Consider the following 25,857-nt stretch of genomic DNA (forward strand, 5'->3'; position numbering starts at 1 on the left):
TGTGTGTGTGTGTGTGTGTGTGTGTGTGTTATTATTCTGATCTGAAAATATTTATCCCATATGGTTGTGGGAAAGCTAAATAGAGTTAATATTACAGAGTTGAGGCACCTGAAATAAGAAATAATATTGCAAAGGGAATTCAATGCACTTTGAACATGGAAAAGCACAGAGCAAGGTTTGTTCTCATCATCATCACCATCCTGTTTACAAGTATTACTATTAGCAAACCGCTCTGTAAAGCACAAGAGTTTCAACATAAATAACATTTTTTTTCTAGAAACAGTTACCTACTAATTTATATAGGAATAAAAAATGGGGGAAAGTAAGTATACTATGAAGATAAGCATAGTATTGTGAAATGCAGATAATAGTGCCTGCCTCACAGAGATTTGTGAGGATTAAATGGTGTATGTAAAATTTCTGACACATGGTATCTACTCAGAAGTGGTTATTCTTGTAATCCATTGATTATGGATGTCCTGCTTCATTACTTAGTCACCAAAATGAAACCAAATACTGTTTTTTAAGTTTTAGAATTGCAGCTATATATTGCTGTGGTCTTTAATCTCAGGGACTTGGGCATAAATCATAATATTCTATCCCATAATATACCTAAGTCCCTGTAAGCTTCCCGACTTCAACAGCCTCAGAAAAGGACAGTAGAAAACACTCCTCAGTTCAGCAACAGAACCTATTCTCTGCTGCGGGCTGCTTCACTCTGACTGTGAGAACAGGGGTCTTGCACATTCTTTTGATGTCCTGGGATCAGTTGTGATGATAGAGAGCTATAGTTGTTCCAATAGACCACTTTTAGGCCCAGTCTTTAGTAGTGAGAAAGGGAAAAGAGTGGAACCCTGATCCAGAGCAGAGTTTTTCAGCCTTGGCATTATTGATATTTGGACAAGATAAGAGTTTGTTGTGGGAGACTGTACTGTGAATTGGATATTTAACAATATCTCTGGCCTTCACCCTCTAGATATCAGTAGCACCCTCTTCCCCAATCAAGGTGACAATCAACATGTCTTTAGACATTGCCAACTGTCCCCTAGAAGTCAAAATTGCCCCGGGTTAAGAATCAGTATTTTAGACACATGCCTATAAACTTTTGAATTAATGCTTCTCTTATTACCAAAGAAAAATACTTCATTTCCACTTTATTTGGCACTCTGGTACACTGCTGTTATTATAAGATTTTGACCCATTTGAGATGTGAGTAATTTAGGTTTAAGTGCACAAGAAACATTTTTGAAGAAAGTAACATTTATTCAGGGGCTGGAAGAATTTTGTGAGATGGAGAATGAGGTGGTGATGGTGGTATTTTAGCCTGAAAGACGAGTAAATAAAGACTTGGGTCTATGAATGTTCCCACCTTGTTTGGTGAACTCCACACACATAAGTATTTATGACCAATTCTTTGGAAGTAAAGGTCCTGCAGAGAAAGATATATTTATTATTAAACTTAAGAGTAAGACAGACTCTTATTACACATCCTTATATGTTCTGTAGGACCAAGAAATGAAAGTTAACAAAAGTGGAACAGTGAGTCTTGTCCAGCGGGCTGATTGATCCTGATGAACGAATGAAGGTTAATCTAGACTGGTGCATAAGAAATGTTGATTTTCTCTATCTCTTGTTAAACAAGTTAGTTAAGCATCAAATAATAGGATTTGCCGTAAAGCTTTATACCTTAACAATTTTACCCATTTGTAGAGTTCTTCTTATGTGCCCGAAAAGTGCTATTTTGTTGTAAGTTTTACCATGGGACATGTGGTAAACATTTTTACTTCTATTTAAATGCAATAATATGAAGCTCAGAGAGATTGGATTTAAGATCTTTCTGAATGGAAAGACTTTTCTTAGAACTCAGTAAAATATAATTAATACATCTAAGTGTTGGGAGATGAACTTCCAGTGGCTTTTAGTAAGAATATTATTAAATAATATATTAATTCCCATAATTTTGCACTTATGTTACAACTATAAGGAGTCAATATTTATTACTTAAGGGAAGTCAGTATTTGTTACTTAAGTTAAAAATTCTGCTATTACGTGTTATTTTTGTAGCTCCTTAAAAATACAAAATGTGATAAAGATTTCTGATTTGTCTTTTTTCTTCTTTCCACTGTGAGTGTGTGCTTCTCGCAATGATTAGAAAGCCTGGTAAATTCTGAATCTCAAGTGTTTTGCAATACCAAACAAAATTTAAAAATTAAAATCTTACAAGATTACAAATTGATTTGAGACATCTCCATTTATGTATGAGTGAAATTAATATTCAAGTATCAACAAATTACACTCTAGGCTCACATTTAAAATATTCTTGCTCCAACATGTTTTGAACCTTTGTGAAAAGTGTGGTTTGTTTAATGTGCTGGGAATATCCAGCTACCCAATTTAGAGGGTAAGATATTAATCTTTACGATAGATCTGAACCCTCAAATTGGAAAATTAGAAAACCAGAGGAGAAACAATAAGGCTCAATTAGTAACAATGTCCTGCCTCTCACTATATACAACATCTTAGAATTTCATGTCACACAAACCTAGTAATAATATAAGCATTCCATTCAGCCACACGGAATTACCAGTGTATGATTATACAGCTTTCATTACTCCACACTAGTGCTCGATTTATCTTTCCCCAACTGTTACGCCAACTCACCTATCTCTAGATCTTTTGGTTACCTTCCCTTCCTTTAAATACTATCTCAAAAGTCATTTAATATACAAGGGATTCCTATCCTCAGAGTTGTAATTCTTCTTTCTCCTGTAGCCATTTTAGCTGACTTAACATTACATTGCAATACCATTTATAACTTTATCAGTTCTTTGAAGACAAGAATCATGTCTCACTTATCATTTTAATATGGGTAACTACGGAACAATGTCTTGCACATAGCTATGCTTAAATGTTTATTGATAACGATTTGGATTTATCATGTATGGAAGCACATTTTCCCCCTATTTCACTCCCTCTTCTTCTTAAATTTAGCAAAAATTAGTCATGGGACTTTAAAGGAGACTCTCTTTTTGGAGAATACTATACAGAAGATGATATGAGGGATTGAGGAGTCTGACAGCATAAAACTCTGATTATCTTGCAGGTATCGTACCCTGACCGCAATCTTAATAAATTCATTTTTACTCTTCACTTTTTCTCCTTAGGCATCGCCTGGCCATTCAAAACCCTTGAGCTCTCTGAGATCATCTTTTGTCTTTGTAATAACCTCTCTTTTCCTTGTTTGATTCACATAAATGTTTATGAAGAGGTCTGATCTTTGATGTCAAAATCCTTTCCTACCACAGAATGGAAAAAGGTACTGAAAGTCCAATAGAAAGAATTCATGTTATTAAACAATGAGGGAAATGGTTTCACTATGAGGAATGTCAGATTATATTCACAGGAACATTTTAAGCTATTTTTACTTTGATTTGTAGTCTTTGTTCCTTTTTTACTTTAAGTTTTATTTTTATGTCAAACAAACAGTGTAACAATTATAACTGGCTCCAGAGTTATTACAATTTTGCAAAAGAATGACCATATTAAACATACCATTTTGGTTTAACGTCAGATTCAGTAAATAAAATTCACTCTTCACTAAAACTAAAAAGCATTATCTCATATTCTGCTGCTCATCACCAACTCAGAAATAAAGCATCTACATTTTTGGTATATTATTTCTACTAGAAAACACAATGCCCTAGGCAAAACATCTCCTTTTGTACTTTGACAAGCCAATAGGTATTTTACTCTATCATAAAACAAATAGCTTGAATAAAACAAAACCATGAGATTAATAATTATTTTAACTGGCTATGAAGCTTTAAACACACACACACACACACACACACACACACACACAAATTGCAGAGGGAAAATATATTAAGATGTATAAGACAATCAAAATAAATTCAGTCATGCTCCTGAAAACTTAATCTCCTGTGTGTAGTAATTTGCACTTCTTAAACAGCAATAGGAGGGCTGTATGTCACACAAAAGACATTATCTTAACTGGTACTGTTCAAATTGATACATTCTGAACAATGTCAAAATCATATATGCAAACGGATGAAAAGAATGAAAGAGAAAGAGACAGAGGAAAACAAACAAGTAGGGACTCAATGTTTAATAATTTTGCATTTCTCTTGAGATTTTAAAAAATAATTTTAAAAATATTAAATTTTACTGGTAAATTCATTTAAGATAAAATAGTTTTTAACTGTATTAACAGAATATTTTATGAAAACTATAGAATTTAAGTGGTCCTCTGTGTCTGAACCTAGCAGGGGACTCAGTTTGCATAACAAATGAATGAGAATGACTGAGTACAGATCACTCTGGGCTGAAGTAGAGTGTGAGTTAAGCAGTTCTAAGAGCTCAAGATCTATTGCATAGCATGGTGTCAAGAGTTAATAATAATGTATTATATGTTTCAAAATTGCTGAAAGATTAGATTTTTAAACGTTCTCTCTACAAGAGAATAAGTGGTGAGGTGAGAGATATGTTGACCAGCTTGATATAATCACTACTCAATGTATACATATGTCAAAACATCACATTGTATCCTATAAATATATATAATTATTATTTGTCAATAATAAAAGCAAAAAAGTGAGACTAGAAAAAAATGTGGGACTAGATTTTGGAGGATGTAAAATCCATGTAGAGTTGTCCTTTCTAAAGATGTGAAAAATGTATATTCATTTGTATTTGCGTACTTTTCTCTGAATTCATAATTTTGATTTTAAAACACATGATCATTTATACTCTAATACTGAGATTTTTTCACAGGAGGATCTAGATGCAAAAGAATGAAAAGGAATGCATATAATACAAGGTGACAGACAAATTCAGTCTTGGATTTGTGGTTAATACTAATATAACAGAGTCCCAGACATAAAAAAGCTTGTGAAATTACATGGGAAATTTCTTATAGTAACTGTTTACCCACTTTCATCTCTGTAATTCCTAATATCCATATTATAATGTTTTAAATGTTTGAGAAACTTTAATATGGAAATTTTTATAATTATTTGTTTAATAGGGCTTCGTTATCAGTTACGGATATTTCTGATGACCTTCCTTTTTATCAAACTTAATTGTTGCTTGCAACAGTATGATTAGAATGTCATTTGAAACATTCTGAAAAAAATAACTTGCTAATGTGCTTCAAAGGTTTAAAAAATATTAATAGGTTCTAAACCAAGTTATTTTTAGGCTGTCCACTAAGAAAATAATCTCATCCATAAATAAACTGCAAAATATCAGCTGAAGTTTTATTTTTAACAGAAAAACATAATGAAAATAATCTAAAAGTTCAGTATTTAAATATTGGATAAACTGATTATATTTATTCATATCATTGAGACACCTAACAAAAAGTCCTAAATCGAGGGGAGAATTAAGATTTAGACATAGAATCAAACAAAAAGGAAAAATACTACAGACACAAATATTAACTATAATAATAATTAGTAGTAACTCCTGTGGCAGGATTGCAAATTAATCATAATATACTCAGGTTCATTCTGAATATCCTAAATTCCTTCTCATCCTCCTCGTGTAAGTCTTACCCTCTGGGTAATTGAACAGATAAACGTATTTTCTACTCTCCCGAAATTTGAATAGTCTGTAAATAACATGCTCATTCCTTCAGATTCCATTCTATCTACTGGTCTTCATTATGATGGAGTATGGATATAGGAGTAAAGGAAGACATCATTATGTCTTTTTTTTTTTTTTTTTTTTTTTTTTTTGAAGTATAGTCGCCCTCTGTCACCCAGGCTGGAGTGTGGTGACTGTGACCCAATCTCGGCTCACGACAACTTCTGCCTCCCTGGTTTAAGTGATTGTGGTGCCTCAGCCTCCCAAGTAGCTGAGATTACAGGTGTGTGCCACCACACCTAGCTAATTTTTGTAAGTTTAGTAGAGACGGGATTTCGTCATTTTGGTCAAGCTGATCTCGAACTCCTGACCTCAAGTGATCAGCTCTCCTCGGCCTCCCAAAGTGCTGGGATTACAGGCATGACCCACAGTGCCCAGCCCACTGTATGTCTTTTATCACATGTGGGAATGGAGGGAACAGGGTGTCTGGGTCATGCAATGCTTTCCAGAACCTCATTCTTTATTTCTGGGCAGTGGTTTATTCCTAGTGGTTCTTGGAGATGAGCGGTGACCCTGAAGCACATTGTACTTTTATCCCTAGGATTTCAGCAGGCATGTGGCAAGTCACATCTTCCCAGCATTTTACACTGAAAGTAGAGGCTATGTTATTTGCCTTCAACATGCTTCTCTTCCACAATCCGTATAGGAAGGGTCAAAAATTATCTTTTATTAACATAATATATTATATATTCATTTACATAAAATTCTACGAGTAAGAATTAAGGACTAATTTTTGATGTCATAAAAGAGGAAAAAAAGGTATCGAATAAATCTTACCTCTTGGCAAAGCTTTGCCTTTTATGAACTCCATGCCATGTCCTATTTTGGATGTCAAAAGCCTGATATAAACTCTCTCTTTTGCTTCTACATTCTGAATAAATAAATCCTAACACTCCTTCAGGTAGAAGAAAGTCATATTTTGATTAGATAATGCTTCTCCTCTTTGAAAGGCAAAAGGGAAAAACATGTTTGAATGTTAAAGCTATTACACCAATGTCTGGCAAAGGATCATAAATCAGATGTGTTCTAAGCCTTTCTTTGAGTTATCAGATTTAATCCTCAATGAGTCCTTTGATATGGGTACTAACAGAATTTAGTTTTGATTAGTATTTCAGGGATTAAACTAATTCCACAACATGAATGACAGAGCTATTAAATGGCAAAACTTAGCCATATCAGGCCCTGAAGTTGGAAATCACAACAATTGAGCCAGACCACTTCCTCCCCAAATGTGTTAGTAATAGAAAATAAAAGAATTGAAAATGCATCAAAATATTTGTCTCTACAAACAAAAGTTTTGGCAGCTTGTATTTTCTCTTTTATTACTTTCTGAGTTTCCTAATATTCAACAAAACTAATATATTTTCAAAGACTCTTTTCAGTTTTAAAACATAATGATGAGATATCTTCTCACACCAACCAGAATGGCTATTATTAAAAGTAAAAACAACAGTAGGTGAGGCTGCAGAGAAAGAGGAACACTTATACACTATTGGTGGGAATTCAAAATAGTTCAGCCACTGTAGAAACCAGTTTGGAGATTTCTCAAGGAACTAAAAATAGTACCACTATTTGACTCACCAGTTCAATTACTTGGTATATACCCAACGGAGAATAAATCATTCTATTGAAAAGACACATGCACTAATACATCCATCTTACTTAGCGCTATTCTCAGTAGCAAAAAGGCAGAATCAACCTAGGTACCTATCAACAGTAGATCAGATAAAGAAATTGTGGTACATATACAACATGGAATACTACACAGCTATAAAAAGAATGAAATAATTTTATTTGCAGCAACATGGATGCAGTTAGATGACGTTGTACTAAGAGAATTAATATAGAAACAGAAAACCAAATACTGTATAGTCTCACTTATAAGTGGGAACTATAAAAAAATAGACATACTGACCAATGAAATAGAATAGAGAGCCCAGAAATAAACGTACACACCTACAACCGTCTGATCTTTTACAAAATTGACAGGATTTTGCAATGAGGAAAGAACATCCTATTCAATAAATGATGCAGGGATAGCTGGCTAGCTATATCAAAAGAACTGGACCCCTACCTCTCACCACATATAAAAATCAATGCAATAGGGATTAAATACTTAAATATAAGACCTCAAACTATAAAAATCCTAGAAGAAAAGCTTCTTGATATTTGCTTTGGCAAATAATTTGTGAATAAGTCCCCAAAAGTAATTGTAACAGAAACAAAAGTTGACAAGTGGGACCTAATAAAACTAAAGAGCTTCTGCACAGCAAGAGCAATTACTGACAGGGTAAACAGACAACCTACAGAATAGGAGAAAATAGTCATAAACTATGCATCTGGTAAAGGTGTAATACCCAGAATCTACAAGGAACTAAACAAATAAACACCAAAAATAAACACACAAATAACCCTATTAAAAATGGGCAAAGGCTATGAATAGACATTTCTTTAAGAAGACATAGAAATGACCAACAAATACATAAAAATTGCTCAACATCCCTGATGTCAGAAAGATATAAATCAAAACCACTGATACAATCTCACACCAGTCAGAATGACTATTAATAAAAAGTCAAAAATAGCAGGTGCTGGCCAGGCTGCAGGGAATAGGGAACACTTATACACATTTTGTTGGAATGCAAAATACTTCAGCTCCTTTAGAAAGCAGTTTGGAGATTTCTCAAATAAGTAAACATAGAACTAACAGTAATCTCGTTAGAGGGTATATACCTGTAGTAATATAAATCATTCTACCAAAAGAAACATGCACTTACATGTTCATCAAAGCATTATTCACCATAGCAAAGACATGGAATCAACATTAAGTGCCCATCAATGGTGGATTGGATACAGAAAATGTAGTACATCTACACCATGGAATACTACACAGCCATAGAAAGAACAAAATTATGTTCTTTACAGCAACATGGATGGAACTGGAGGTCATTGCCCTAAGCAGATTAACACAAGTACAGAAAACCAAAGACTGCATGTTATCAATTATAAATGGAGCTAATGATTGAGTACACATAAAAATAAAGTGGGTAAAGCGGGACACTGGGAACTAGATGCAGGAGAGAAGGAGAGGGGCATAGGCTGAAAAACCACTTATTGGGTATTACACTCACTACCTGAGTGATGAGGTTATTTGTACCCCCAAACTCAATGCACTCAATATACCCATGTAACAAACCTTCACATATACCCTTTAATCTATAATAAAAGTTGAAATTATAAAATAAAAACAAAAATGGGTACACATGGACATAAAGATATGAACAATAAATATTGGGAACTATGAAGTGGGGAAGAAGGAGGGAGAGCAAGGGTTGTAAAACTAACTATTGGGTACTATGCTCAATAACTGGATGATAGGTTCCATCGTATGCCAGACCTCAGCGTCACACAACATACTCTTCCAGCAAACACACACGTACCCTCTGAATCTAAAATTAAAATTTAAATGAAAAAAAAATTGAACTTTGTTACTGTACATCACATTCCACTATATTTTACTTGGCATATATCTTTTTTCATGTGTATAATTATTTTTAGCATGTGTTAATAAGTGAAGAATATCTAGTTCAACATTATTGCTAAGATTTGTAATAATTTTTGCCAAATCAATTTACAGAAGGTCTATTTCAATATCCTCTCTCATCAGGTGAGCATGAACTTGCTGGTTTCTCCTTAGTCTCACAGAATTTAGTATTCTCTGTCTATATCTTAGATATAAAATAATTTTTCAAAATGGTACATTGTTGTCGATAAAATTGATATTTATTTGAAGGTTAATATTCACTAGGTGTAATGTCAAACTGGATACTAAGGATATTAGCATTTGTTCTGAAATCTGAAAATAATCTGGATTTACTTTTCTTTTTCTACTTTAATTTAATTTTTAAATTTTATTAACATTTCGTGTGTTTTAATAATTAGAAAAAGACCTTTAAAAATCTCAGTTCTACTCATGTAATACTTTGCAAAGAAACTCTTACCCTTTACCTTAAATAACATTTAATTAGCATACTAATATCTAGCATACTAATATCTGTTAATCACTTATTAATTATTTGAAATTATGTTAATGTAGGCTTTTATTGTAAAAACTAAAATAAACAGAATATGCAAGAATATTAAAAAACTATTGTAGATGCAAGAAGAGGTATTTTGGATACCCAAATTGTCTTTAGTTATTTTAAATCATACCAACAGAGAGGTTTCACATTTAAATCCTTTAAGAGTAAAACTTTTTCTGTTCCTAAAACATAAGTAATTTTTTGAATAATCTTTTTTTTTTTGTTAAGTCTTTTAATCAACTGAATTGGTGGTAATATCACTACAATTTTTCACTCAAAATTCAATTTAAAAATTTCAGTTGTAATTCATTCAAATTCTGGCCTAAATGAAATACTTAATTCATGCTAATGCAAAATCTAAGTAAAATTTATAATAAATTTTAAAAATTTTATAAAGATTAAAACTTTTGAATTTAAACACCAGACTTTTTTCCAACACTATTGACTTTTTATCACTTTTTATGACTCAATATCATTACTTTTGAAAATAGTATTACATTAAACTTAATAATAATGTTTTTAGCCAGGTGCAGTGGCTCATGCCTGTAATCCATTACTTTGGGAGACTGAGGAGGGGGGATGGTTTGAGGCCAGGAGTAACTAAATAACATAGCAAGACCCAATTTCTACTAAAACAGTTTCTAATGAAAGTGGCATTGATTGACCCCTTACTATACATAAGACCATTTTAAGTATTCTGCTTGCACTGACTAATTAAGTCTACACGGCAAATTTTATGTGGCATATATGATTACCATTCTCATATTTCAGAGGCTGAAACCAAGGAACAGATATTAAGCAATTTTTTCCTAGTAGCACAATTTAAAAAAGTGAAAAAGTTGAACTCTATGTACATTCTTTCAGTATCTAGAGGCTTTTAAAGCATTTTTTGGTTTTCAAATTCTTTATGTTGATATAAATTTTCACAGACTTTAGCACTATTTTCTGTTTTGTCCTATAGCTGTCTTCCTGTATCTAGATGTTTTAGCCAGCAACTCTGTTTAAAATCTGACAGACAGAAATTGATGTTCCAAACAAGAGAGCTGTCCACATCCTTTGAATTTGAATGGTGCATGTCTTTGTCACTGTTTTCACTCTCTCTCTTCTTCTGTCCTGGCTCGCCAGAAATTTGTCTTTCCCTTGTCTTATTTGACTGATAGCTAGAACCAGCTTTGTGAAAGCTGTTCAGATAAGCAGGCGTGAAAACTAGTAACAAGGAAGTGTCATGGCTAGATTTACATCCGAAATGATAGGGAACACTGACAAGAACACTTCAGAAGCAGTTATTTGTGTCTGATGGTGGTAAAAAGTGATGAGAAAGGAACAATTCAGTAATCTAAATGCTGATTTGTTTGACTGGACAGATGAAAACAGTGCAGTGATGACTATCAGCTTGGTCTTTCTTTTTATAGAGATCTATAAGGTAAGTTGCTTCATTTAGATACACATGCCTCTCTCAATCAGGGATAAAAAGAAGGTGCAATATTTAAAAATCCAGTCAAGCATAATGGCATTCGTGCTTTCAAATTGGAATACAATTTAAAAAATGATAATAATATTTAATACCTTATGCATCACTTGATATTGAGGTTCAAATTTTCATTATTCAAATTGGCCTAAAGTTTCATTTTTATCTTACACTGTGTTGATGTGAGATTCATATATTTTCTTGCAGTACTTTAGGGTATCTTTCAGTTATCATGCCCTAAGAGTTATTGAATTTTGTTCTTCACTTTCATCATTTATAAAATGGGTCTCAAAATATGAATGCTTAACATAGCTATTCTTACTAAAATTAATAATGTAAGAGATGTAGAGCAATATGTAACATGCTAATAACATGTTAGATATTATCTTCATTATTACTTCATAGTAAATACAGAATGTTAGATATTATCTTCATTGTTACTATTTTATTGCATGCAATAAAATATATTGCATATATTGCATGCAGATGAGGGATCATTAATGCACTTAGATCTATGAACTATCAGGTGGCAAGGGGAATAGTTAAAGGAATACAATAAAATAAAGACAAATTTCTCTTCCAGTAGCAGTGGTTGTTGACATATTAAACTTAACTCTGAAGCCTTGGGGAAAGGAAAAATTGTTATTGAAATTTTTAGCCTTTCCATTGTTTGTCATGTAATATCACATTAGGAAAACAAAATATCTTTTAAAAGGCATGCAGTTCCATTTACCCTTCAATCAGGATGCTATTTAAATTACCCCTGAAGAATAAAAACATAGAATGTTGAAAAACAAAACAAAACACAACAATCTAAAGCAAAACAAAACAGAAATCCAAAAAAGAATGCTAACATGCTAAAAATTCTTTCTTGTTCACAGCCTACAGTCCATATGCTTCAGTCTATTGTGTCTTGATCTAAGAAGAGATGCAGAACAGATGGTATGTTGGTGGCAGGCTGAGTTAAGCTTATCTTCTGTAAGAAAAGATTTCTACTGTCCATATTTCTGACTTATTATACCCAATTTTAATATGCATCTTAAATGACAAGTGTGAAAATATAAGCACTTAAATATTTGCAGTTCTTTAAATCTTGACGAACATTGGTGGACATAGTTATTATATGAAAATTTAAGAGCTGTTTTCATGATGATTTTTAAATCCAGACTTTCTTCAGTCTTTGCTAAATTTAAATCTCACAGTTCTCAGGTACTAGAAAGGGGCCTTTTTATGTATGCTCTAGAACTCTTTGGCCAATATACGTTACTTAAATTTGTATATGAGCACATCATTTTTGTAAAAAGTAATCATTCTATTCTCTGCTTATGATGATAGCATTTTGATTCATTTTACTTCATCTAGTTTGGCAATATTTTGATAGAAAATGCATCAGATATAGGGTTCCTATAGGATCACAAATCAAAACTTTCATGTTACAGTGTTGATAAATTCTACAGACTTTGATAAAGTCTACAGAAGTGTAACATTCCCTAGACTCATTAAAAATTTTAATAGGATGTCCAGTCCCTTTGATAGGCTGCTATTATTATTAACACCTGTCAGGAGATGACTCAGCTAATTATTGAATAAGATGGTCTTAGATGATAAGATTTTTTTTCATATTGTGATATTTTTGAAATGAACAGCGCTGAAAATATGAAGACAAAATTTTGTTGTTAAATGGGTTTAAACCCATTTATTAGTTCTATGCACTTGGACAAATTTGTAACTCTTAATTTTGCCCATATCAGTATAGCATAATACTATCATTGGAATTACTTGTAAAAATAAAAGGAGTTATTATACAAAATTATTGTCACATGCTATCAGTACAAGTAACATATATTAGTTCCTCCATTATCTATTTTTAACTACATTTCTCTCTAATCTTTACATTAACTTACTTTTCTATTTTTCAAGTATACATATATGTGTATATATATAAGTATATATGTAAGTGTATATATATAAGTATATATGTGTATATATAAGTGTATATATATAAGTATATATAAGTGTATATATATAAGTATATATATAAGTGTATATATATAAGTATATATGTAAGTGTATATATATAAGTATATATGTAAGTGTATATATATACTTATATATATAAGTGTATATATATAAGTATATATATAAGTGTATATATATAAGTATATATATAAGTGTATATATATAAGTATATATATAAGTGTATATATATAAGTATATATATAAGTGTATATATATAAGTATATATAAGTGTATATATATAAGTATATATGTAAGTGTATATATATATATATATAAGTATATATGTAAGTGTATATATAAGTATATATGTAAGTGTATATATAAGTATATATGTAAGTGTATATATATAAGTATATATGTAAGTGTATATATAAGTGTATATATATATAAGTGTATATATAAGTGTATATATATAAGTGTATATATATGTATATAAAGGCAAAAAGGCAAGGTTTTATTTCATCTGCAAAATTTTCTCTGTGAAAGTTTGCAGGAATTCATTATAGCTGTTTATAATTTTACTTAAAATTTGTAATTATATAATTTTAATTGGAAATTATTGGAATGTGTAATTAAAATAAAAGTAATAATTTTAGCAGTTTACTAATTAAATTTCAGTGCATTGTCTCCTTTAGTTTATGTGATATTTGGCAAACTTTTTATTTAAAGGGTCAGATGGTAAATATTTTAGTCTTTGTGGGTCATATGCAACTCTATCACAACCACTCAATTCTGCCATTGTAGCGTGAAAGCAGTAACAGACAATAGTATGGTGTGACTGTGTTCCAAAAAAACCTTATTTCAAAAAACAGACAAAAATGGCAATAAGGTAAAACTGCACAACTATTAGAATAGCAAAAATGAAAATAAAAAAAAGCAATACCAAATTTTGGTTATGAAAACTCACTCATTTCAAATGGTGCAGCCACTTTGGAAGACAGTTTGTCAGATTCTTACAAAACTAAATGTACTTTTACTATATGGTGCAGTAATCATGTTTTAACATATATGCTGAATTGATTTGAAAACTTACTTTCATCTGCATGTGAATGTTTACAGAAACTTCATTCACGATTGCCGAAAATTGAGGGCAACCAAGATCTTATTAATAGATGAATGGATAAACAATTTGTAATACAGCCACATAGTGGAATATTATTCATCATTAAAAAGAAGTGAGGTATCAAGCCATCAAAAAACATAGACAAACTGTGAATTCATATTACTAAGTGAAAGAAACCATTATGAAAACAGCTACAGGCTGGATATTCCCAATTATATGCCATTCTGCAGAAGGTAAAACTATAGTAAAAAAGAAAGGAAGGAGGGAATTGAATAGCTGTATCATCAAAGATTTTTTAGCACATATCAAAACTATTCTGTATTATACTGTGTACTTGTGGATACATGACACTATGCAGTTTGTGAAACTCATAGAACTTAACAGCACAAGGAGTACGCCCTAATATATGTGATATAGTTTTGATATTTGTCCCCATGCAAATCTCATGTTTAATTGTAACCTCCAATGCTGGAAGTGGGCACTGGTGGGAGGTGTTTAAATCATAAGGGAAGATCCCTTATTAATTGATGCTATCTTTTTGATAGTTAGTTCTTGTGAGATCTGATCATTTAAGAGTGTATGGCACCTCCTTCCTCATTCTATCCCACTTGCTCCTACTTTCACCATGTGACATGCCTGCTCCCCCTTCACCTTCTACTATGATTGTAAGCTTCCTGAGGCCTCCCTGGAAGACTAGCAGATGCCAGCACCATGCTTCCTATAAAGCTGGTGGAACTGTGAGCCAAATAAACTTCTTTTCTTTATCAATTACCCACTCTCAGATATTTCTTTATAGCAATGCAGGAATGATCTCATACAATATGCAATTAAAAAATAATTTGGGAGGTCAAGAGATAACTGAATGCAATGCAAAATGTGACTAAATAATTTAACTATAATTATACAAAATAGCCTCTCTAAAAAGAGAGAAAAAGGTGCTGACCTAAGTTACTTTTGAAATCATTGATGTCCATAAGGACAGAAAAAAACTATGCATAAACATTGTACCGTAGTTGACATATTTATTTCCAATGGGGATACAGGTTAACAACACTAATGCCTTTATATATGTGTATGGGAACTGAACACTGAGTAAATGAATAGTTGAAGAGTGGAGCCAGGTTTTCAATTTTGGGAGTGAGAGGTTGTAGGTAACAAAAGGAAAGAGGCTGGAATGTTCCATGTGGTAACTGATTCAAGTTATAGACACAAATATTATGTCATATCATCTTTATAAATATGATTACTTATAAATATAAATATATTTCCATATTTGTGAATATAATCAGGTTAATATACATGTATATTTCCTTGCTTATCAGCTAAGAAGACTTAGACGCAATGAGCCCCAGAAACAGTAAGTACCTATAATACTCAGATTTTGGTTTCTAATGTCATTCTCCAAAAATAGGAAGAAGTTCTTTTTAGAGAATCATTGTAGGACTGGTGCAGTAAGTATACAAGATAAGCCTGGAACATTTTGTCATTCAGAAAGTAAAAAATTGCTCAAAAACAAAACAACAACAAAAATAAGCGATTATGCCAAATGGTCCTGGGGGCCAACTGAAAGTGCTCCCAATGGCTAAAGCTGAAATAATTTGAAAAATAAGATAAATAGGCTAGTATTGGATTATAATCCAAAATATAAAATAAATATCCACGAGTTTATAGTTATAAATGCTGCAGAATAGACAAATCTCCTATGCAGAAAATTTCTAAATAATGTATCTGGGTATCTCGCCTTTAAGGAGGTAGAATATAACTCCACACTCCTTAAGTGTAAGCTGAGCATAGTGACCTCCTTCCAAAGAGTACAATATGAAAAGTGAGAGTGGTAGGAGAAGAGTAACTTTACAGTGGAGAAACCTAACAAACATTAACTCAAGTAAGTAGATCTAGGTTCACATCAACATAAAAACACTTGATATGATGAACATGGCAATTTATTTTGTGGTCTTTCTTCCAAAAACTGATGACACCAGTCTAATAATGAGAAAAACATTGAACAAATTGCAATTGAGGTGCAAAATTTCTTGCTGGTATTCCTCAAAACTGTCATAGTTACTAAAAACAAAGAAATTCAGAGAAAATGTCACGGTGACGTAGAGCCTAAGGAGACATGACCACTAAATCCAATGTCATGATTGAGTGAAATTCTGAAGCAGAAAGGAATTGGATAAGAACTAAGAAAATCTGAATAAAGTACAATCATTTCTTAATAATGTCTTTATATTGTTTAATGGGTTGTGACAAATTTATCATACTAATGTAAGATGTTAATAATAGTGAGAGTAGATGTAGATAATATGGGAACTGGCTGTAGAGTCCTTGTATTTTCTCTGCAAATATAAAGCTATTCTACTACATATATTTTTATACATATATACATATATAAAAATATATATTTTTTGCGTGTGTGTGTGTGTAATATGGGTAGCAGGGTGGATTTGATATGTCGATAATTTTCATATCCCTGATTTAAGGTATATTATTTCATTCTTCCAATTATTTAGATGGGCAACAAGCTAGATACCTGTTTCATAGTACCTTCAAGCCAGACATAAATGGTCATATATTCAGTATGAGAGAGACAGAGGCCCACCTCCTACACTTGTTTGAATCCATGGTTATGGACTGGTTTGTTTGAATCATGTGTTTTTATATATGGGTATATTTTCCTGTGTCTTTAAATAAGATATATAGATGAATATGTTGTTAAAGAAATTAAAATACTGTTTTGTTTGGACGGTATGGTGTAGTCAAGGAGAACAGTAACAGAGACCACAAGTTTCTACTTGTGTCATCTGTGTAATTTGACTTAGCAGACCTGGGTCTTATTCTCATCTGTAAACCAAATTGTTGCAGTACATACTATCCAAGGTTGTTTAAATATTCTAAGACTGGCTTAGATGACTTAAATTAATTTTTGCATTATCCTTACATAGTATCCATGAAAAGACCAATTTACCTATTTCCTGTTGATTTTCAAATGGCAGGAAAACTAATTACTTCAATCAACAAATATGATTTACTCTGCACGTAACATTTGTTGGTAAGAAGAGAGCATCCAAAATCGGATGGTGGTTTGTCTGCACACAAACAGCCACCATCTTAGTACTGAAAATCTTAGTGCTGCAGTGTTAAAAGTAAACCTTTAAGGCACAGGCTAGGTGATTGAAATATGGAGAAAAAGAGAAGATATTTAAAACGTAGAAACATATATATATATGGAAATATGAAAATGATGGAAAAATGAAAAGTTACATATTTTTAACTGGAGTGATAGGAAAAAGCATAGACATTATTATAGTTGAAGACAATGAATCAGTTGTGATTAATGCAGACAATTTTGATTTGGAATTAACTGAAAGGTACTTAAAATAAGAGAAATCAAAAAATAGATATTACCCATATTTGGAAGTCAAATGAGCTGTCTGGTCAATAGTTAAATATTGTAGGATTTATTGAGATAATAGAAATTGATAAGCACGGATGTAGATACACACACCTTTTAAAGTTAAGGAGAGGGTGTCTCTGGATTAATTAGAACACAAGTCTATTTTCTCAACTTCACCCTTAAAAGATCTATAGATTCATTTTATTTTCCATGTACCTCAAATACAAATTTATGGCAGCTTTTATGATTTTTCTGATCTCCCCTAGTTATTAAAATGCCCGGTTACCTTTTGTCATAAACATATGGCAGTATAATTTTATAAACTCCAAGCTAGGCTTTGAGATTAAGTGTCTACCCTCTCTAATTGGAAAAGTATACTTTGAGAAACAATGGCCCAAGCCCATGTCTGCTATTTCCCTGCCTTGTGTTTCCTTTCCTCTTTCCTTCTGCCTGCCTTCATCCTCTGCTTCCTTCTTGACAGAAGACAGTGGGAACCTGTTTACAGGAACATTATTTTTCTGCTGGTACCATCTTTGGGAGGTTACCTATGCAGCCACAATTTCTTTAGCTTTATAGAATTAATTTCTACTCTAATGCATAATCCCAAACTTACATCTCATAAATAGAAAAAAAATAACAAAACAGCAGATATTGATTTAATATTTTAATAATTGTCACCAGTTTCAGAATGATTCCAGAGATATACTTCTTTAAGAAACCCATTGCTCTAAGTTTTTGCTTTTCTAGAACTTTTTGTCTCACCTTTATCTTGTTGCATACCTCCTTGCCTCTGCCTTGCTTCAATCTATATCTGGAAGAAAGTTCTTCCTTGTTGTTGCCAAAACAGAACTCATGATCATGTAAATTACTCATAATGAGTAATTGAAGATTACTAAATATATATGGAAATAACAAAGTGATTATGTTATATTTTATAATTATGTATTTGTGTAAATATTACACATGTATATTTTATGTATATACATATATACACACACACATATATATATATTCACACACACATACAAGTATAACTATAATTAGCTCCATATTCAGTTCTGCCCTGGAAGTTCTCCATGTTTGCCTTTTCTCCTTGCACCTGGGATTATCATCATTAAACCAACACCTGTTTCCACATATTTCTTTTATTTTATTGGGGATTCTTTCTGATTTCATTACCACTACATCTCTCCCATAATTTTCATTTAAATTACAAAATTCACCCACTTTTTAAAGCAGAGTCATTTTTGGAATATAAATCAGGTACTGCAACTTCTTTATTTTTAAATATTCCAGTGGCTTAGCATTATTCTCAGAATAAATTTCAACCTCTTTATGGTGACCTAAGAGATCCTTGCCTCTAGCTCTTGACTACACAGACATCTCAGCTGTTGGTCCCCGGCTGTTGGAAGTTGACTACACAGACATCTCAGCTGTTGGTCCCCGGCTGTTGGAAGTCCAGTTGCACTGGATCCCTTTGTGTTCTTCTAACTTCTAAGCCTCTTGCAGCTTCAGGGCCTTTATATTGGCTGCCACCTGTGCACAGTATGCTCTTCTGCAAGTCCTCTGCTGGCTTGGGCCACGCACACTCTGTCTCAACTCTCATGGAACCTCTGAAGAGGAAATTCCTGATCACATGTTCTAAAGAGGGCTTCTCCCACACTGTGTGATTTATTTAATTCATAGAACATACCATAATATGTAATTAAGCTGTTATACATTTTTATCTGTTTTGTCTCAGTATGTAAGCACTATTATAGCAAAATTCTTAATTATCATTTTACTACTGCTTTCATATCTGCTATATATATTCACTTAAAATCCAAACAAGAAAAGTTGCAAGAATTGTCAGTAAACACTTGTATATCTTACATCTATATTCACCATGTGTTAATATTTTGAAATATGTGTGTATTAGGCAGGGTTCTCAAGAGGGACAGAGCTAATAGTATAGATATTCATATATATATAAAGGGGAGTTTATTAAGTATTAACTCACACAATCAAAAGTCCCTTAATAGGCCATCTGCAAGCTGAGGAGCAAGGAAAGCCAGTCCGAGTCCTAAAACTAAAGAACTTAGAGTGTAATGTTCAAGGTCAGGAAGCATTCAGAATAGGATAAAAATGTAGGCTGCGAGGCTAGGCCAGTTTAGTCTTTTCATGTTTTTCTGCCTGCTTTATATTCTAGCCGCACTGGCAGTTGATTAGATGATACCCACCCAGATGGTACCCACCCAGTGCCTTTCCCAGCCCACTGATTCAAATGTTAATCTCCTTTGGCGACACCCTCACCACATACCCAGAATCAATACTTTGCATCCTTCAATCCAATCAAGTTGACACTTAGGATTAACCATCACAGTGTGCTTCTGCTTTCTATCTATGAATACGCATAAGCATATACCCATTACATTATTGGTATCCTTTGTTGCAAAATTGTAGACATCATCTTGTGTTACTTATTCAGTGTGTTTTTCTTCATAGGAATACAATACAAATTATAATTCAGGACATTTAATATCAATATATATTATTTTTTAAATAATATATGGACAGCAATTTTAAATTTGCTGATACAAGACTATGCATTTCATATTATTGTTCTGTGTTTTTATTTTATTTTATTCTACATATATTATATATTGATGTTTTGAAAGGTGCAGAACATCAACGGGATGCAAACACAAGCCACAGGGTTGGAGAAGATATTTGAAAAACTTATCTGATAAACACTGCTATCCAAATTCTACAAATAAATCTTAAAACTCAATGACAAGAAAATGAACGAACCAATTAACCAGTGGGCCAAAGACGTTAGTAGTCACCTCACCACAGAAGATATACAGATAGCAAATAAGTATATGAAAAGATGTTCAACAGGATACATTATCAGAGAAATACAAATTAAAACAACAGTGAGGTAACACTATATACATATTAGAATGGCCAAAGTCCAGAACACTGAAAACATAAAAAGCTGGTTAGGATTTTGAGAAACAGGATCTCCCAGCCATTGCTTGTTGGAATGCAAAATAGTACGGTTACTTTGGAAGATACTTTGGTGGTTTCTTACAAAACCAAACATAACTCTTACCATATGATCCAGCAATTGCACTCCTTGATATTTACCCAAAAGAGCTGAAAACTTATATTCACACAAAACACTACGCACAGATGCTTAAACCAGCTTTATTCATAATTATCAAAACATGGAAGCAGCCAAGATATCCATCAGTAGGTGAATGAATAAATAAACTGAGGTACATCTAGAGAATAGAATATTATTTGGTGCTAAAAAGAAATGAGCTATCGAGCTATACATAGGACATGGAAGAAACTTAAATGCATATTACTAAATGAAAGAAGCCAATCTGCAAAGACTACATGTTGTATGATTTTAAGTATATGACATTCGGCAAAAGGCAAAACTATGGAGAGAGTAAAAACATCAGTGGTTGCCAAGCGTTAGGGAGTAGAGAAGGAATGAATAGAGCACAGAAGATTTTCTAAGGCAGTGAAAATACTACATATGATGCTATAATGATGGATATTGTCCAACACTGGACAGATATGTAATTATATATTTGTTCACACCCATTCAATATTCAACACCAAGAGTGAACTCTAACCTAGACCGTGGACTTTGGATGATACTAATGTGTCAACGTAAATTCATCACTTTTAACAAATGTACCACTCTGATTAATAATGGGAAAGACTGTACAAGTGTTGGGGGAGAAAATATACTTGGTATCTCTGTATCTTCCTCCCTCTCAATTTTGCTATGAATCAAAAACTGCTCTAAAAATGTAAGTCTTCAAAAAAAAAATAGAATAGTTGTTTTGTAAAATCTCCTGCTTGGGTTTGTTGATTTTTTTCACCTGATTAGATTTACATATCACATGTTCATCAGGAATACTACGTAATTGGCAATGTGCTCTCACTGAATTGCATTAAGAAACATGGGATGCCAGAATGTCGCATTATTGGTGATATTAACTTTGATCACTTGATTTAGTTGATGTCTGCCAGATTCCTCCCCTGTGAAGTTAGTACTTTCTTCTTTGTAGTTTATAAATAATTAGTGGCGAAATATTTTGAAGTGTTATAAATATCTCTGTGCTCTTTAAGCTTTCATCTAGTGATTTTAACAACTATCTTTCTAGTTACATTATTTCTTCTACATTTATTTGTTAACATTCTACTTTAAGAATGAGCCCTTCTCCCATTTTATGTATCTGTATATTATACTGAATATGTTTGAATAAATTATTAGTTTTATACATATAAATGTATTCTTTACATGAGAGTAAGTTAGTTTTTCAAATGAAGAAAGTAACATGAAGCATGAAAATATGGCAGGGAAACAACCCAAGGTACAAAGCAGGTATAGAGACACAAGAAACTTTGCAAAGCTGGCAAAGAAAGTTTAACCAGCATAATAAATAGTCATGTTATTTAACTTAATCACATTTGAGGAGAATCAAGACTTCTAAGTTTCGTAAATGTTGGGGAGCACAAGTTTTCAAGGAAATTTCAGCTGGGTCAAATGTCATAGACTTTTAAAGGATAATGAGGTTATGAAAATAGTTACTTTACTTATGAAGTATAGCTACTCTACATATGCAAAAGTAGATATGTGGATTTGTGGGCATGAAAATATATTTAAGGACATCATCAGCAGAATCAGTAATAAATAATTAAATCTATTAAATGTAGACCAATTCTCCAGGAGATAATGTGGTGAAGATAGAGGAAATGGTCATAGCTAACATAAGTGAAACAAGGTGAATTGTGTTTCTTTTAAGATGGAGAAATAAGAATGTATGTTATCAATTCCTAGGTGTCTGTAGTAGAAATGAAGAAGTAGAAGAGAAATGCAAAACCAAAGTCTTAAAATGTGATGTAATAAACAAACAGTACCTGACACAGTCCCAGTCCTCCAGTTACTTCAATCAAATTAGAAAGGGATTTGTAAAGCATTAAAATATCTAAAAAAAAAGCTAGATATTTAAATAGCATATTGTAATTTGATCAATGTTTTCTTTCATGTATATAGCCATATTTAATTACCATAAATATGTAGTAAAGGGGATACTTTATTCTTATTTTACCTCTAAGGTTCCTAAATTTCTTGTAGGTATGACCTATACCCTGTACATACAGAGGATTTGGAACTTTATTCCTATTCTAGGAGTTACATATGTGCATGGGTTGGAGTGAAAGGAGAAATCTTGGATAATTTTGTATTTTAAATTGCCTTTTAAATATAGAAAATATTTCTGTTATTATAGAATGATGAAAAACACATTATGGAATTAGGATGCTATTGATGAAAGGTGCAGAGACAAGCATGTGCATGGTGTATTGGAGGAAAAACAGGGTGACAGCGAGGCTCGGATGCTTCAGCCTCTTTTGTGTGTGCCCCCATGCTGGGTATACAGGACATGTCTCACACAGCCCTCATAACACTGCCTGGTCAGTCATCCTTCTGCAGCCTCCACCAGACCGTGCACTCTGCAAACAGGGGCTGTGTTCTTGTGTTCTTTTTTTTTTTTTTTTTAATCTCTATTGCCTAACACAGTGCTTTGTACCCTATATGCATTTGTTGAGTAGATGACAGAAGCAAGAGATCAAGCTGAAAAAGTAATTTGAGGCAAGGGCAAAGTTTCAAGCTTTCAAAGTGATTATGTCAAAGAGTCACATACTTGCTGGTTGTCTTAATTTAAAAGGAGGCATTCATTTTAAACTTTATAAATTAGATCTATGGCTTGAGAATATATTTCCATCAAAATGTAAGTGAAATGTTCAGAACTGTGTCCCTGCGTATCTTAGAGGATTTTAGTGGATTAATAAGATGATGAATTTAGCTCAGTTTTGCTAGAATTCAATACTGACTGAACGTGGGGAAATGCAATATTTAAAATGATACCACGTTAGAGTATACTAGTGTACCTAATAATAATCTTGGAAGAAAAGAATTAGCTTTTGCTTTCTGATTATTTTGTAATAAAGAACCCGGCCAGTGTTAAAAAATAATAATTAAAAATTATGCTGGCCTTTTCAAAGGTGGGATGAAAGGTGGGGAATTCTAATTGACCTTCCCCCAAAAATAACATTATGACTGATCTCTCTATAAGGTGGAGACTTCAGTTTATTAGGAATTTCTGACTTGCACTGATAAAATTTAGGAATGCCTACCAAGGACTAGTATTCCAATCCATGGTAGGGGTAATGAAGAGGACAGGTAACATTTTAAGCAAAAATATACTTAGTCCTACCAGATGTGTTTTCTTAGCACTGTTGTACATCCCTGTGAAATTATAATGTGAGCTCTCCAAAGGTGAGATATTCCAATGCATCTAAATCAACACAAGCTGTTAAGAGTGTACTTAGGCGTTGAAGATGATTTAAGTAGCTACTTTGATTATATTAAATGTATGTGAAGTCAGTTACCTCTCTGTGATGAGAGAAAGGAAATGACATTGTTAAATGGAATGCTTAGGTACTTTTAAAAATTAACATAGTCAAGTTCCTTCTAACAAAATATTTAATTTGACGTGCCTCTGGTGCAGATTTGAAGATCAATGAAAAAAAGTCCTATAATTGAAGAATAAAATGAGATACATAGGTATTTACAACTCCAATTAAAAATAACGAAATTTTTCAACCAACAATTAAAAATTGAATAACCAATTAGTAACTAAAATGTTTTCAGAGTCAATTTAAACATGCATACGTTACAATTTATGATAATATAATTCAAATATTAGTTGTAAGTTGTGTGTGACCAAAAATACTCTTTTGACTTATTAGCAGAAAATGTGAGCAGAATTACTTTTTTTTGGTGACTGTGGGGTAGTCAAAATTCCAAAGATGTTGTTCCAAGATTCTTATCTGTTGGTTATTGAAGGAGACATTAATCCAGGTACTGCTGTGTTGGGACTCTGCATATGGAAATGAGGCTGCTAGTTAGGGGATTTTAAAATAGGTAGGTTAGTCTTGATAATTCATATAGGTCCCAAACAATCATACAAACCCTTAAAGATGAGAAATGTTGGGAGTAGAGTTAGAGAGATGTGGTCCAAGAGGGAGGCAGAGGAAAAGGTGATAATAATATCAGATAAATATGAAGCATGAGAAGGTTCCTATCCTCATTAATGACATTGAATGGGGCCAGAAATCAGAAAATGCAGTCAGCTTCTAGAAGCTGAAAGTGAGCCCTGGCCAACAGTGAAAAAGAGAAATGGGGACCTCAGTCCTAGAATTGCAAAAATAAACAAACAAACAAACAAATTTTTCCAACAACTTGAATAATTCTGTTCATTAAGCATAGCCCTGCAGAAACACTGGTTTCAACTTTGTGAAACTCATTGAACATGTTATAGTGGGTAGCTAGTCAGACAGGAACAGGGCAGGAGAGGGGCCCCCACACCCCACCTGGAATGTCAAGTAATACTCAGCTGATTGTCAGGCAGTTGTCACACTACCTCTCTAAAATAAGAACTGGTGGCAGTCAGTGCCAGGAAAAGGTAGTTTCCCAATAAATAAAAACACCTAAAACTGGTGATGGGCAGCTTCCCAGTAAGATCTCAGGAATTGGGTATGTGGGGCTCGAGCATGCTCATTAAGAGGCAAAATGGTGCAGTTTAACTGTTATATGACCTTCCAGGGGCATTCCACCAGAAAAAGGAAGAATGCTTCAGGTGAGCATGCATACAACTCCAGTAAACACCCAGTCAAAGCCTTGGTCAAATAATCAGTTTCTCCAGTTATGTCCTGTTACAAAAGAAAACAGATTCTTATTACACTTTTGCAAATAACCATATTGTCATAAGAATACTCACAAGTAGTTTCCAAATTCTGGAGAAATCAGGTAGAGAGAAACAAATATGCTCCACATTTTCTTATTTTATTTTATTTTAAGTTCCAGGGAATATGTGCAGGATGTGCAGGTTTGTTACATAGGTAAACCTGTGCCATGGTGATTTGCTGCACCTATCAACCCATCACCTAGGTATTTAAGCCTGCCATGTGTTAGCTATTTTTCTTGATGCTCTCCCTCTCCCTCCATCCCTCCACCCTGACAGGCCCAGTATTTGTTGTTCCCCTCCCTGTGTCTATGGGTTCACACTGTTCAGCTCCCATTTGTAAGTGAGAACAT

General features: G+C 32.9%; 1 long non-coding RNA gene across 1 annotated transcript in view; it reads left to right on the forward strand.

Annotated features, from left to right (window-relative positions):
- Window positions 1–25,857, forward strand: part of LINC00333 (long intergenic non-protein coding RNA 333) — a 466,167-nt gene that overhangs the window by 85,843 nt on the left and 354,467 nt on the right. The window contains exons 2-3 of the long non-coding RNA NR_046871.1: window positions 12,096–12,156; window positions 15,619–15,653. This is a non-coding gene — a long non-coding RNA (long intergenic non-protein coding RNA 333). The remainder of the gene's footprint in view (window positions 1–12,095; window positions 12,157–15,618; window positions 15,654–25,857) is intronic.

Source organism: Homo sapiens, chromosome 13 (genome assembly GCF_000001405.40).
Source record: "Homo sapiens chromosome 13, GRCh38.p14 Primary Assembly".
In the NCBI taxonomy this organism is placed as follows: Eukaryota; Metazoa; Chordata; class Mammalia; order Primates; family Hominidae; genus Homo; species Homo sapiens.